This window comes from Homo sapiens, chromosome 4 (genome assembly GCF_000001405.40).
Source record: "Homo sapiens chromosome 4, GRCh38.p14 Primary Assembly".
Taxonomy (NCBI): Eukaryota; Metazoa; Chordata; class Mammalia; order Primates; family Hominidae; genus Homo; species Homo sapiens.
In genome coordinates, this window is record NC_000004.12 from 145374475 (window position 1) to 145390129 (window position 15655).

The following is a 15655-nucleotide window of genomic DNA, read 5'->3' on the forward strand; positions in this document are numbered from 1 at the left end:
CCAGAATCTACAATGAACTCAAACAAATTTACAAGAAAAAAACAAACAACCCCATCAAAAAGTGGGCGAAGGACATGAACAGACACTTCTCAAAAGAAGACATTTATGCAGCCAAAAAACACATGAAAAAATGCTCATCATCACTGGCCATCAGAGAAATGCAAATGAAAACCACTATGAGATATCATCTCACACCAGTTAGAATGGCAATCATTAAAAAGTCAGGAAACAACAGGTGCTGGAGAGGATATGGAGAAATAGGAACACTTTTACACTGTTGGTGGGACTGTAAACTAGTTCAACCATTGTGGAAGTCAGTGTGGCGATCCCTCAGGGATCTGGAACTAGAAATACCATTTGACCCAGCCATCCCATTACTGGGTATACACCCAAAGGACTATAAATCATGCTGCTATAAAGACACATGCACACGTATGTTTATTGCGGCACTATTCATAATAGCAAAGACTTGGAACCAACCCAAATGTCCAACAATGATAGACTGGATTAAGAAAATGTGGCACATATACACCATGGAATACTATGCAGCCATAAAAAATGATGAGTTCATGTCCTTTGTAGGGACATGGATGAAATTGGAAATCATCAGTCTCAGTAAACTATCGCAAGAACAAAAAACCAAACACCGCATATTCTTACTCATAGGTGGGAATTGAACAATGAGATCACATGGACACAGGAAGGGGAATATCACACTCTGGGGTCTGTGGTGGGGTGGGGGGAGGGGGGAGGGATAGCATTGGAAGATATACCTAATGCTAGATGACGAGTTAGTGGGTGCAGCACACCAGCATGGCACATGTATACATATGTAACTAACCTGCACAATGTGCACATGTACCCTAAAACTTAAAGTATAATAAAAAAAAAAAAAGAATGTTGCAGCCCTCTAGCTGCACTCGGCTGAGTCAGTCTGTCGGAGTCTGTCCTCAGAGCAGGCAGAGTAAAGGGACTTGAACGAGCCAGTTGCCAGATTATTCTATTTCCCCTCCCTCTCTCCCGCCCCCTATCTCTTTTCACCCTTCTCCCACCCTCGCTCACGTAGCCATGGCGGAGCCATCGGCGGCCACTCAGTCCCCTTCCATCTCCTCGTCGTCCTCCGGAGCCGAGACGTCCGCATCCGGCGGCAGCGGAAGCCCAGGAGCCTGCCCTGCCCTGGGGACGAAGAGCTGCAGCTCCTCCTGTGCGGTTCACGATCTGCTTTTCTGGAGAGATGTAAAGAAGACTGGGTTTGTCTTTGCCACCACGCTGATCATGCTGCTTTCCCTGGCAGCTTTCAGTGTCATCAGTGTGGTTTCTTACCTCATCCTGGCTCTTCTCTCTGTCACCATCAGCTTCAGGATCTACAAGTCCGTCATCCAAGCTGTACAGAAGTCAGAAGAAGGCCATCCAATCAAAGCCTACCTGGACGTAGACATTACTCTGTCCTCGGAAGCTTTCCATAATTACATGAATGCTGCCGTGGTGCACATCAACAGGGCCCTGAAACTCATTATTCTTCTCTTTCTAGTAGAAGATCTGGTTGACTCCTTGAAGCAGGCTGTCTTCATGTGGCTGATGACCTATGTTGGTGCTTTTTTTAACGGAATCACCCTTCTAATTCTTGCTGAACTGCTCATTTTCAGTGTCCCGATTGTCTATGAGAAGTACAAGACCCAGATTGATCACTATGTTGGCATCGCCCGACATCAGACCAAGTCAATTGTTGAAAAGATCCAAGCAAAACTCCCTGGAATCGCCAAAAAAAAGGCAGAATAAGTACATGGAACCAGAAATGCAACAGTTACTAAAACACCATTTAATAGTTATAACGTCGTTGCTTGTACTGTGAACGAACATACTCAGTGTCAGCTTGAGCCTGCATTCCAAGCTTTTTTTTTAATTTGGTGTTTTCTCCCATCCTTTCCCTTTAACCCTCAGTATCAAGCACAAAAACTGATGGACTGATAAAAGAACTATCTTAGAACTCAGAAGAAGAAAGAATCAAATTCATAGGATAAGTCAACACCTTAATGGTGGTAGAGCCTTTACCTGTAGCTTGAAAGGGGAAAGATTGGAGGTAAAAGAGAAAATGAAAGATAGAACACCTCTGGGTCCTTCTATCCAGTTTTCAGCACTAGTCTTACTCAGCTATCCATTATAGTTTTGCCCTTAAGAAGTAATGATTAACTTATGAAAAAATTATTTGGGGACAGGAGTGTGATGCCTTCCTTGTTTTTGTTTTTTTTTTTGCAGCCCTCAAATCCTATCTTCCTGCCCCACAATGTGAGCAGCTACTCCTGATACTCCTTTTCTTTAATGATTTAACTTTCAACTTGATGAATAACTTATAAGTGATAGTGATAATTCCTGATTCCAAGAATGCCATCTGATAAGAAAGAATAGAAATGGAAAGTGGGACTGAGAGGGAGTCAGCAGGAATGCTGCAGTGGCCGTCACTCCCTCTGCCACTATCCCCAGGGAAGGAAAGGCTCCGCCATTTGGGCAAGTGGTTTCTACATCACTGGACACCAGTTCTGAGCGTTAGTTTGAGAACTCGTTCCCGAATGTGCTTTCCTCCCTCTCCCCTGCCCGCCTCAAGTTTAATAAATATGGTTGTACTTTTCTTATTATAAAATAAATGTCTGTAACTGCTGTGCACTGCTGTAAACTTGTTAGAGAAAAAATAACCTGCATGTGGGCTCCTCAGTTATTGAGTTATTGTGATCCTATCTCAGTCTGGGGGGGAACATTCTCAAGAGGTGAAATACAGAAAGCCTTTTTTTCTTGATCTTTTCCCAGTTGTTCTTTTCTTGATCTTTTCCCGAGATTCAAATGTCCGATTCCCATTTGGGGGCAAGTTTTTTTCTTCACCTTCAATATGAAAATTCAGCGAAATTGAAAGAAAAATCATCTGTGAGTTCCTTCAGGTTCTCACTCATAGTCATGATCCTTCAGAGGGAATATGCACTGGCGAGTTTAAAGTAAGGGCTATGATATTTGATGGTCCCAAAGTACGGCAGCTGCAAAAAGTAGTGGAAGGAAATTGTCTTTCTACGTGTTTTGGGAAAATTAATTAGGAATTTGGATGGGTAAAAGGTACCCTTGCCTTACTTCATCTTATTTTCTTAGCCCCCTTTGAGTGTTTTAACTGGTTTCATGTCCTAGTAGGAAGTGCATTCTCCATCCTCATCCTCTGCCCTCCCAGGAAGTCAGTGATTGTCTTTTTGGGCTTCCCCTCCAAAGGACCTTCTGCAGTGGAAGAGCCTCATCCAGTTATTTTCTTTTGTTGCTGCTGTGTTTAGATAATTGAAGAGATCTTTGTGCCACACAGGATTTTTTTTTTTAAGAAAAACCTGCAGATGAAAAATTACTAATGAAACTGTGTGTACGTGTCTGTGCATGCAACATAAAAATACAGTAGCACCTAAGGAGCTTGAATCTTGGTTCCTGTAAAATTGCAAATTGATGTGGTATTAATAACACACACACACACACACACACACACACACACACAAAGAATGTTGCATATTGGCCCCCACTCTCTTCTGGCTTGTAGAGTTTCTGCTGAGAGATCAGCTGTTAGTCTGATGGGCTTCCCTTTGTGGGTAACCTGACCTTTCTCTCTGGCTGCCCTTAGAATTTTTTCCTTCATTTCAACTTTGGTGAATCTGACAATTATGTGTCTTGGAGTTGCTCTTCTTGAGGAGTGTCTTTGTGACATTCTCAGTATTTCCTGAATTTGAATGTTGGTCTGCCTTGCTATATTGAGGAAGTTCTCCTGGATAATATACTGCAGAGTATTTTCCAACTTGGTTCCATTCTCCCCATCACTTTCAGGTACACCAATCAGACGTAGATTTGGTCTTTTCACATAGTCCCATATTTCTTGGAGGCTTTGTTCGTTTCTTTTTATTCTTTTTTCTCTAAACTTCTCTTCATGCTTCATTTCATTCATTTCATCTTCCATCACTGATACCCTTCCTTCCAGTTGATCGCATCGGTTACTGAGTCTTGTGATTCGTCACGTAGTTTTCGTGCCTTGGTTTTCAGCTCCATCAGGTCCTTTAAGACTTCTCTGCATTGGTTATTCTAGTTATCCATTCATCTAATTTTTTTTCAAAGTTTTTAACTTCTTTGCCATTGGTTCAAACTTCCTCCTTTAGCTCGGAGTAGTCTTCTGAAGTCTTCTTCTGTCAACTCGTCAAAGTCATTCTCCATCCAGCTTTGTTCCGTTGCTGGTGAGGAGCTGCGTTCCTTTGGAGGAGGAGAGATGCTCTGATTCTCAGAGTTTCTGGTTTTTCTGCTCTGTTTTTTCCCCATCTTTGTGGTTTTATCTACCTTTGGTCTTTGATGATGGTGACGTACAGATGGGGTTTTGGTGTGGATGTCCTTTCTGTTTGTTAGTTTTCCTTCTAACAGTCAGGACCCTCAGCTGCAGGTCTGTTGGAGTTTGCTGGAGGTCCATTCCAGACCTTGTTTGCCTGGGTATAAGCAGCGGTGGCTACAGAACAGCGGATATTGGTGAACCGCAAATGCTGCTGCCTGATTGTTCCTCTGGAAATTTTGTCTCAGAAGAGTACCTGGCGGTGTGAGGTGTCAGTCCACCCCTACTGGGGGGTGCCTCCCAGTTAGGCTACTCGGAGGTCAGGGTCCCACTTGAGGAGGCAGTCTGCCCATTCTCAGATCTCAAGCTGCGTGCTGGGAGAACCACTACTCTCTTCAAAGCTGTCAGACAGGGACATTTAATTCTGCAGAGGTTATTGCTGTCTTTTGTTTGTCTGTGCCCTGCCCCGAGAGGTGGAGCCTACAGAGGCAGGCAGGCCTCCTTGAGGTGTGGTGGGCTCTACCCAGATCGAAATTCCCAGCCGCTTTGTTTACCTACTCAAGCTTGGGCAATGGTGGGCGCCCTTCCCCCAGCCTTGCTGCTGCCTTGCAGTTTGATGTCAGACTGCTGTGCTAGCAATGAACGAGGCTCCGTGGGCGTAGGGCCCTCCGAGCCATTTGCGGGATATAATCTCCTGGTGTGCCATTTGTTGAGTCCATTGGAAAAGCGCAGTATTAGGGTGGGAGTGACCCGATTTTCCAGGTGCTGTCTGTCACCCCTTTCTTTGACTAGGAAAGGGAATTCCCTGACCCCTTGTGCTTCCCGGGTGAGGCAATGCCTCACCCTGCTTTGGCTCACGCACGGTGCACTGCACCCACTGTCCTGCCCCCACTGTCCGGCACTCCCCAGTGAGATGAACCCAGTACCTCAGTTGGAAATGCAGAAATCACCCGTCTTCTGCATCGCTCACGCTGGGAGCTGTTGACTGGAGCTGTTCCTATTTGGCCATCTTGGCTCCACCCCCCGCCATTATCACATATTCTTATGCAGTCTCTGTATTTATTATAGTCAGGCCTGGAAGGGTTAAATTTTTCTCTTTCGCATCTAAGAAAATCCGCCTTAATAGAATTATTTCTAGTAAACAAACTGAAGATCAGAAGCCAAAACATGTGAAGTGCTCTGATTTCAAAAAGGAAATGTACATTTTGTTTTCTCTGTCCAAGAAACTGAATTAATCTTGTTCTGTCTCCAACTTTCAGATCCATTAGCTTTGACCACAGGATGGGCACCAATGGGCATATTTGCTTGCTATTTTTCATTAAGCATAAATCTAAAGAACAATATGCACTTTCAAAGTCTTTTGAATTTGCTTGACTGTGGATGAGTTGGAATTGTAACCCCAGGTTCCAGTCCAGTACCTGCAAAAAATTAGACCAAATGAAAAAGAATTTAGGCAGCAGTTGAGAAAATATATTAACAAGAACCAGTACACTTTAGTTGCTGGATTTCACTGCCTTTGGCCATATTCTGAGTCATACTGTGTCAGTGAGCATAACAACTTTTGTTCCTTTAACATTGGAGTGGATTGTTGGGTATTATATAGGCTAGTGAATTATTCATAGAAATTTGAATTATTCAAATATATCAACAAATTTCTCTTATTCTGAAGCAATAAAATATAAATTAATTAATACTTGACAGTTCTATTCAATGTTTTGTCAAGGAGCTTTCTAATACTATAAAAGTAAATTTACTAGGCCTTGAGTATTCTAAAATGCTGTTGTCACTGCTAGCTTTAAACATGTAAGGACATAGAAGCAACAAAATTGGCCAAGGACAAAGAGAGAATGTGTCAGCACTGAAACTGAAGTCTTGGATCCACATCTGGGTGTTACATTACCAAACAGGAGGAGATAAAGATGGATACTTTATCTGTGCTGGGCTAAAAGGTGCCATTTCAATGATTTGGGAAGAAATTGAGTTTGCAAAAATGAATGTAACATAAGAGGCAAGAAACAAGATAGAGGAAACTCAATTTTCATCCTGAAGAGAACGTTTGGAGGGCATTTGAATGTGTTCTTTTAGTATATCTAAGAAAACAAAAATCTCAATAAGGTAGTTAAAACTATTAAAAGGTAGCTCTCTATTTGAAGAATCACCATGTGGAGGAAAGATAAATCAAATTTCTTACTTAGAAACCAAAACTTACCCTTCTTTGTCAGATAGGCTGGGTTCAGATTCTGATAATGTCATTGGCTAGCTGTGTGATCGTGGGCAGGTATCTCTCTAAAAGTGAGTTGCTAACAGTACCAAATGAAGTAACACATGGAAAGCATTTATCCATTTGGCCCATAGTATGCATCCAATAAATGGTAACTACACTACTGCTACTACTACTACAGCTTAAGCAAGCACATGGGGGAATCTGGGCATGCATGGAAAGCATATGTTGGAGCTGAAGGGGGCTAGGAAGTCCTTTTATCCCTTGGGGATGATGAATAAACTATGTTGTGCACCTGCATTTTGACTGACAACTGTCACATGAGATCAAGTGTGGAATTTTGCACTTGTGACGTCATATCAATGCTCAGGAAGTTTCAAACTTTGGAGCATTTTGGATTTTGGATTTTCACATTGGGGATGCTCACCCTGTAGTAGTAGCAGTGGTAACCACTGTGCATTATTTACTGTGTTTTTATTGCTTGTTCTCTGCTCTATGGGGATAAATATAATGTTGAAAATGTTAAAAAAAAAAAAAAAAAAAGGCCTGCATAGCACCTATAGGGTAGTGAAAGAATTCCAAAATCTGAAATACTTCTGGTCCCAATGATTTCAGCTAAGAGGTACTCAATGTATACTACTACTATATTATTATTTGTTCCCCTTCATTTCACTATGTCCCCACTCACTCACTTGTCTTTTCATCCCTCCTACTTTATTCAACTACATTATAATCTAGGCAAGGAATAATTGAGTCAGAAAATTGACATAATTAATGCTCAGATCAAAAAGCTCAATTGCCTCAAAACTTGAAGTTCTTTTTTTCTGTGATGTGTTTTTTATGAAAGAATGGTTCCACTTAAAATGACTTCATTTCTTACCTTTCTAAAATGATGGAGGTCATCTGAGCATCTGCTATGAAGCTGCAGCTGTCTCTGAGTATGTCTTTATTTTTTTAACCTCTAAAATAACCTTTTTATCTTTTTATTTCAGAGAGAAAGGTATTCTTCCTCCTTGGAAGTTACCTTTCCCCAGGTTTTCAGTATCCTTGAGAAAACTGCTCCCACATTTTCCCTATTCTTCTTTCCATTCACCTCAAAAATATCACAAGATGTTTCAAAGTTTTTTTAAAAAAGTGGACATATGAATATCCAACTAGAAAAAAAAGTTAAAAGACGCACAAAATTCTACCACCTAGAATCACTATCATTATTAGCATATGTGTTCATTTCAGACATCTCTTTTTATTTGCACATGGTAAGAAAAAATAATAAATAGATAATAACTCTTCAAAAATCAAACAACTTTTTATATTCAAACTACTTTTTAAATTCAATATTAAAAATATTGAATTTATTGTCATTTGAAATCCATAGACAATATAAAAAATGAAATTGAAGGAATTGATGAACTTTAGGTAGATGTTTCTCTGCCAAAATAAATATTATTTCCTAAGAAAAACCTTAAAGTTTGATGGGGGGAAAGACAGGAACTTTGGGACTTCTACTTCTAGCCCATATGAAATACCAGGGACAAGATACGTCCTCTTGTCTTAAAGAAGTAAAGAACGGAATGAAATCTATGGAACAATAGTTTTAATACATGGAACAACAAACATTGCAGGAAAGTGATTTCTGAGGGAAGGAAAACAAATAACGTAAGCCCTATGTTTGTCTGAGGGAATTTCTAAAGAGAATTTCTAAGCCTCGGAACAGGTAGCGTAAACCAAAAAGGAGCCCGGTAGTCTCTCTGAGATGAGGAGTCAGAGTTCAGATTTTAAAGGGGCTAAGGTGCGGGCAATTAATGGAATGGAGTCAGAGAGAGGAAAAATCTTCAAAGACAAAGAGTTCCGAAGATCTATAGAGGGTTCACCCTTGAATCTTTACCTCATCATTGCATACGTTGAGGAAACTGTAAAGGCAATGAAAGAGCTACTACGAAGGAGCAGGTGGAACAATCCTTGGAGATCACACGGGTTTGGGAATAATACATCTTTCCACCAGCCAGACTGGAAAGACCTCCTAACACTTGAGACAATCAACTAGAGCTATCAAAAGAGTATTACCTCAGTAATGAAACCAATTAAGCTTGAAAAGTCACCAGCTTAACTATTCCAGCTTAATTGGCTCCATTACCTTCAGGTGATTTAGATTTTCTGTTTGAATGCCTAAGTAATTTTTTGTAATGTCATAATTGATTCAATGTTGATTTTTCTATATCAGTTTTGGCTATAATATGTTGTACCCTTTCAATCTGGTTATTAATGTCTTCTATTTCAAAGAAAATGTGGTATGCTATATTATATACCTTCTCTATTTATTTGTATTTATCTACTTTAGAAAATCTCCTATGTTGGATCATCTTTGTCTGTCTTCCATATCTACTATTTTTCTCCATAATTTCTTTTTCTTTTAAAAACTTTTATCTCTGTTTATCACTTTGCTAGGGCTGCCATAAAAAAATACCACAAACTGAGTGGCTTACACAATACAAATTTATTTTCCCACAGTTCTGAAAGCTGGAAGTCCAAGATCAAGGTAATGGCAGGATGGGTTTCTCCTGAGGTCTCTCTCCTTGGCTTGTAGAGCCCACTTTCTTGCCGTGTCCTCACATGACTCTTTCTCTGGGCATGTGCATTCCTAGTGTCTCTTCTCCTTCTTATAAGGGCATGAGTTCTATTGGATTAGGGCCTTACCCTTCTGACCTTATTTTAGCTTAATTACTTCTTTAAAGGGGTGTGTGTAAAACTTTTATTTTAGATTCAGGAGGTACATGTATAGGTTTGTTGCATAGGTATATTGTGTGATGTTGAGGTTTGGAATATAATTGATCCAATAACCCAGGTAGTGAGCATAGGAAATTTTTCAGCCTAAAGCCCCTATCTTTAAATATATCACATTTAAAGGTACTGGAAGTTAGAGCTTCAATGTATGAATTTGGCCGTGGGGGTGGACACAATTCAGCCCATAACATGTTGTGATAACATAGAGTTATCACAAGTATTTTCTATACTTTATTCATATATTTGCTATTCCTTGAAGTTTATGGTTTCTTGATTTTGAAATAGTGTTGTCTTCAATCCTTAGCTTTCAATCTCCACTTTCAATTTGTCTAGTGCTTCTCACTGGAACTTGCATTCTTGTTCTATTGTATCCATGTTCTCAAATCATGAAATACTCGTAGAAAATTACCTTCTGTTTTATGAGTCATATTTTCATCGAAATTGGATTCTTCATCTCTACTTTGAATAAATATCCCTTTCTTCTTTTTCACCCTGTAGAGTACTTGCATGATTGTGGTGGTTTTTCATTTCATTTTGTGTTTTGTTAACCTTGTTTCTACATAAGTTGGGAAGCTTTTCCCAGATCTCCTACTTATTCCGGTGGTGAGTTCCTTATTTCTTTTTTATTTAATTTGAGAATTGTATCTTCCTTTTGCTTCCACCAAGCATAATTTAGAAAATTCAAGGGGAGAAAGAAAGCCAATTGTATTTACCCATATCTTCACTCTTTCTATTGTTCTGTCTTCTTTTCTGTTGTCCTGAGATTCCTCCTTTTTTTGTTTTATTGTTGTTGTTGTTCATTTGTTTCAAGAGTTTCATTTTGTCGTTCTTTTGAATAGGTCTGCTGGTGACAAATTCTCTTGGTTTTCTGAATCTGAATATGTCTTGAATTCTTCTTTAATCCTGAAGTATATTTTTACTGGACAAAGAATTCTCAGTTGAAAGTTTTTTCTTTTAGCATTTAAAATGATATTCTATTTCTTTCTAGTCTCTATGATTTCTAATGAGAAATCACTCTTTTTCAAGTTATTTTTCCCCTACAGGTAAGGTGTTTCTTTCTTGCTAACTTCAAGATTTTTTTCTTTGTCTTTAGTTTTCAGAAATTTCACTGTGTTTTGTCTTAGTATGAATCTTTCATTTTATATTGCTTAAGTTTCTCTCAGCTTTCTGAATCTGAAAGTTTATGTCTTTCAGGAATTTTCAGCTATTACTGCTTTGAATACTTTTTTCAGCCCCACCCTTTTTCACCAATTCTTTTAGGACTCCAATGACACAATTGTTAGATCTTTTGTTAGAGTCCAATATGTCCCTGAAGCTCTCTTTGTTTGTTTTCAGTCTATTTACTCTTTATTTTTTAGATTGAGTAATTTCTATTGTACTGTCTTAAAGTTTACTGATTCTTTCTCTTGTCCTATTCATTCTTCTGTTGAGCCAATCCAATGAGCTTTTAAATTTTGGTTATTTTACTTTTCAGTTCTAAAATTTTTATTTGATTCTTCTTTATATCTTCTATTTCTTTGCCAAGGCTTCCTTTTGTGTTTCAAACATGTTCATAATTTCTTGTTGAAGCATTTTTATGATGGCTGCTTTAAACTCCTTGTCAGATAATTCCAACATCAGCATGGTGTCTGCTGGTTGTCTTTTCTTATTCAACTTGAGATTTTCTTGGTTCCTGATATGACGAGTGATTCTTGATTGTTTCTTGGACACTTTTGGTATTATGTTATGACACTTTGGATATTATTTAAGTTTTCTGTTTCAACAGACCTCCTGTGACACTCCACTGGTGGGAGAAGGGAGATGGTACCTTGTTTCTGTCAGGTGGGAGAAGTCTAAATCCCCCACGCAACATGCCAGAGGAAGACGGAAGGGATCCTCATTAGTGCTGGCAGTGTTGGAAGTGCAAACTTCCCACTAGGCCTTCCACCCTGACTGGGAGGGTGAAGGACACCTTGTTACTTTTCCCCACATGGTCTCTGCTGACACTGAGTTGGGGGATTTTTTTACCATTGGAAGTTGGTGAAAGTCGGACTTCTCACTTGGCCTTCTCTGACATCATGCTGGTGGGAAAGGGGAGGAATGCCTCATTACTACTAGGTTCGTTTGGAAGTTTTAGGCTCCCAATTTGGTCTCTACTGACACCCCTTGTCGTAGGGCATGGCTCCTTGCTGTGTGAAAGTTCAGGGTCCTGACTCAGCTTTTGCTGATGTGCTAGCCATGAAGCTGCAGTTTTTTCAGAATGTTTGGTTGGGTTAGAGGAGTTAGTTATTGTCTGAAAGTTTTCTATCTTACTAAACTGTCCCTTTCACCATCCTTTGACTAGACAGAGTCACCTTTTCTTGTTGTTTATTGTTTGTTTCTGTCTGTGCCCATTGTGATTTCTGAGTTGCCAGCTTGTCCCTAACCCAGTATGGGATACATGAAGCAAAAAAGAAACCCAGGGAACTCACCTCTCTGTCTTTTTTCAGGTTTCTAAATCCCTATTCAGTTGTTTCTCTTCTTTCCACCTTTCAGCATTATGTTTTGTTTGTTTCGTATGTAATGTCTGGAAATTTTAGCTGTAAAGTGGGAAGAATAGGGAGAAGGTTGTCTACTCCAAATTGTCCTGTGTCTTCCTTTTTCAACAACAATGTGAGAGCTGGATATTGAGTTCAATCCACTTTTCTATAACCTGATGTTATAGAAACGTGGTAGCAGGAGAGCTCTGTGCAATTGTGAATTGCCTTAATTAGAGAAACTGTAGTTTGTTTTGTCTTTAAACTTTGTTCCTAGCTTTCATATTGGAAGATACCCTTGCATATTTCTCCACATGAGAACTTATGTCTGAGAGAGTCTCTTCTGGTTATTTTATTACCGTTGATCTTCTAACAATGTGGGAGTTAAGCGTGCCAGCCCCCTGTGCAGTCAAAAATCTGCACATAACTTTTGACTCCCCCAAACTTAACTACTAATATCCTACTGTTGACCAGAAACCTTAAAGCCTTACTGATAACATAAACCATTGATTCATATGTTTTTATGTTATACATATTTTATATATATGTTATATATATCTATATATATAGCTAAAGAAAAGAAAATGTTATTAAGAAAATCATAAAGAAGAGAAAATATATTTACTATTCATTAAGTGGAAGTGGATCATCATAAAGGCTTTATCCTCATCATTTCCCATGGATTAGGCTGAGGAGGAAGAAGAGGGTTGGTCTTGCTGTGTTTCAGAGAAGACAGAGGAAGAAGAAAATTTCTGTATAAGCAGACCCACATAGTTCAAACCCATGTTCAAGGTGACACTGTACTTTGTTTTACCTACTTCTTGCTATGTAACTTTCGTACATGCATGCATTCTAACATAAAATAATTTTTCAAAGGGAGAGGTAAAGTACAAAATTCAACCAATCTTCTCTCCTACTCTTACAGTATCAGTGGAAACTCTCAGGATTTGTTGACTCACCAGTACTGTTTCTGACGTGTTGAATGGGTTAGATCAAGGTTTCTCAACTTTGAGGCTATTGACTTTTTGGTTCAAATACTTCCTTGTTTTTGCCCTGAGTAATGTTGGTTATTTAACGGCATCCCTGGCCTCTACCTACTAGTAGAATATGCCCCACTTGTAAGAACAAAATATGTCTCCAGACATTGCCAAATGTCCCTTGAGTGGCAAAAAATCAGTCCTGGTCGAGACCCACTGGGTTAGAACAAGTGCTATATTATTCTTTCCTTAATCCTCATTTTTCATTCCTTGGCAGATCTGTTAACATTTATGTCAGAAGATTGCACTTTTTTCCTGTTTGTTTACTGCCAAAATAGCTTTGGGATCCACTCTACTAGATTTTATTCAATTCATTTAACACTGAGGTAGAGTTTTCTCCTCTTTATTCTTCCTTTATTCATATTTTTACTCTTTGAACTTTTCCTGCATCGATATTCTCTAATGTGGAGAAGAAAACATTAATACACATGGCTTTGCTGGCTCCTCCATGTCTCTTCTATTTCTTCCAAATACTTCAAATAAGTTGTATACATGACATCTGTTATTACCTGCCATTTGATTATTAAATAATCTCCTAAATACAATAGGCCCATTAGTTTTCATCCTGGTTGATGTCTTTTTTATCTTTTACCTCTTCTTGAATCATAGTAGTACCTTAGAGACCTCATCTACTTTGTTAGCCTCAACTCTTCACTATGAAGATCACCAAAAGAGCAAGTCTAACATGGCATCTTACCTGTGCTCTAGTTTCATAGCTCTATTTTCACAAAGTATCTACTTGCGCGTCCCAAATCTGACATATTTGAAACAAGCTTGTCATCATTTCCTGCAAATCACTTCCCCTCTGCGTTTCTTATTTCTATCATGTACCCAAGTATCCTTTGTATTTCCACTTCAACTACTGTAATGTTTCCTTTGTTACCTCATGCCTGGGGTATTTGAAATAGCTTCCTACTTATCTTCCTGTTTCTAGTCTCTCACATACCACCTGGTATCAGATCAATCTTACTTAAGTTACACTTTTGTAATATTAAGTTCCTGTTAAAACCAAAACTAAACAAACAAAAACTTCAATCATCATTCTTCTTTACTACTTTCAGAATGTGGTGCCAGAGGGATCAAATATAGAGACAATGGTACCTAAGATTATACTTCACAATCAAACTAGATAGTGGGTTAATGTTAGTGTGCAAGTCTGCAACTTATTTAAAGACATTCCAATTTGCCTTTCTATAAAACTACATAAACTAGCTTAGATCACCAGAACAGAAATAACCACTTCTACAGTAACTCCTCTGAATTGTTTTATTATTTATTTAAATATTCACTGTTCTGCAATTATTCTAAAATATATTCGTAAGAAAACATGAATAAATATGGAAACAGTGTGATATGTTGGCTTGGGTGTGCTTGTGGTTAAACTTTTTTTTCTTTCCTTTAGAATTCTATTAATAGTAGTGCAATGTTTTTTATAAGCAAAAAGCTACAAAAATTAAAAGCAAAATATATTTATGATTTTATTTTTAAATTGGAATCAAAAACCTTGGAATGTTTTGCTCCATAAATGGATATAGGAATGTTTGCAACATAGACATTGTCGGAGGTAACCTGGATTATCATACAATAAAGTGGCAGTGATCAATCTTCTCTTTAAGAAGAGATAACTGATAAATTTTAAAGTTTGGCCTTGAAACCCAGCCCCAAAGGCGACTCAAAGTCTGTCCCATTTCCTCTCCATGAGTCCTTCCTTATTCAACCAAAAATTGAGGAGCATAAAACGAGTTGTCTTAAGTACTGTGTTTAGCTGCACCGAGGGGTGAAGTGTTGATGGAAAACCATGTGAATGGCTGCCTACTTACCAGCCTCATCTTATCCCATTCTCCTTTTCCCTCCTTATATTACAGCCATGCAATCATTTCAGTGCTTCAAATTTCACAGCTCCTTCCCATGTCACAGGAGCCACATGCATTTTCCTCTTCTAGCATGTTCCCCTACCTGTCCCTACCTCAGTTACTTTATTCCCACTCATCCTTCATGCCTCAATTTAAGTGTCAAGTCCTGGTTGATACTTAGAAATGGTGACTAAAGACAGGATTGCCCCCCGCCCACAACTCCTTTTTCCTATAAGAAATCATTCAAAAACAAGGAGAAAGAAAAACCAGAAATACTAACGTTATCTCCCACAACTTTAGCAGGTAGATGTAACTTTGAGCTGTAGGAAGGGAGGAAGAAATGCCAGATACAGGCAAGATAAAGTGGAAGTGCAAAAAGACACTCTGAGATGACTTTTAAAAAAGGTAGTATTTACCGTATTCTTACAATGCCACATGTACATGCATTATCTGCATGCCTTTTCAGGGATTGACCTCCTGTATTAGCCATTACAGCACTCAGTGAGATAAATGCTATTATGATTAGCCCTTTACTGCAGAAATAGAGTCATGCAGCTATTATGTGGCAGAGCTGTAATTCCAAATCAGAACTCACAGCACTGCCGCTGTGCTATGAGCAACGTGCAAATACCCAATTCATAAGGAATTTCCGTCATTCAAAGTTGAGTATTACCACAAAGTAAGCACACTGAATCTATGGAATTACTTCAAAAAAAAAAAAAAAGAAAAAGAAAAGAAAAAACTGTTGAAGGAATGGGGAAAACAAATAGTACAAATGGCAGATGAAGAATATATCCCAGAAGATTTTTGTTATGAACCAGAAGAAAAGTATTACCAAATATATTGCCATGAATTTAAAACATTTAATGAAAGAAATACTTATATAAAATGATGACTCAAAATACATCTAAAGAGTTTGGGAGGAAATGTGCTGAGAAGAG

At 38.7% G+C, this 15655-nt stretch overlaps 1 pseudogene; it reads left to right on the forward strand.

The window, feature by feature from the left end:
- On the forward strand, positions 932–3483 carry RTN3P1 (reticulon 3 pseudogene 1; annotated as a pseudogene).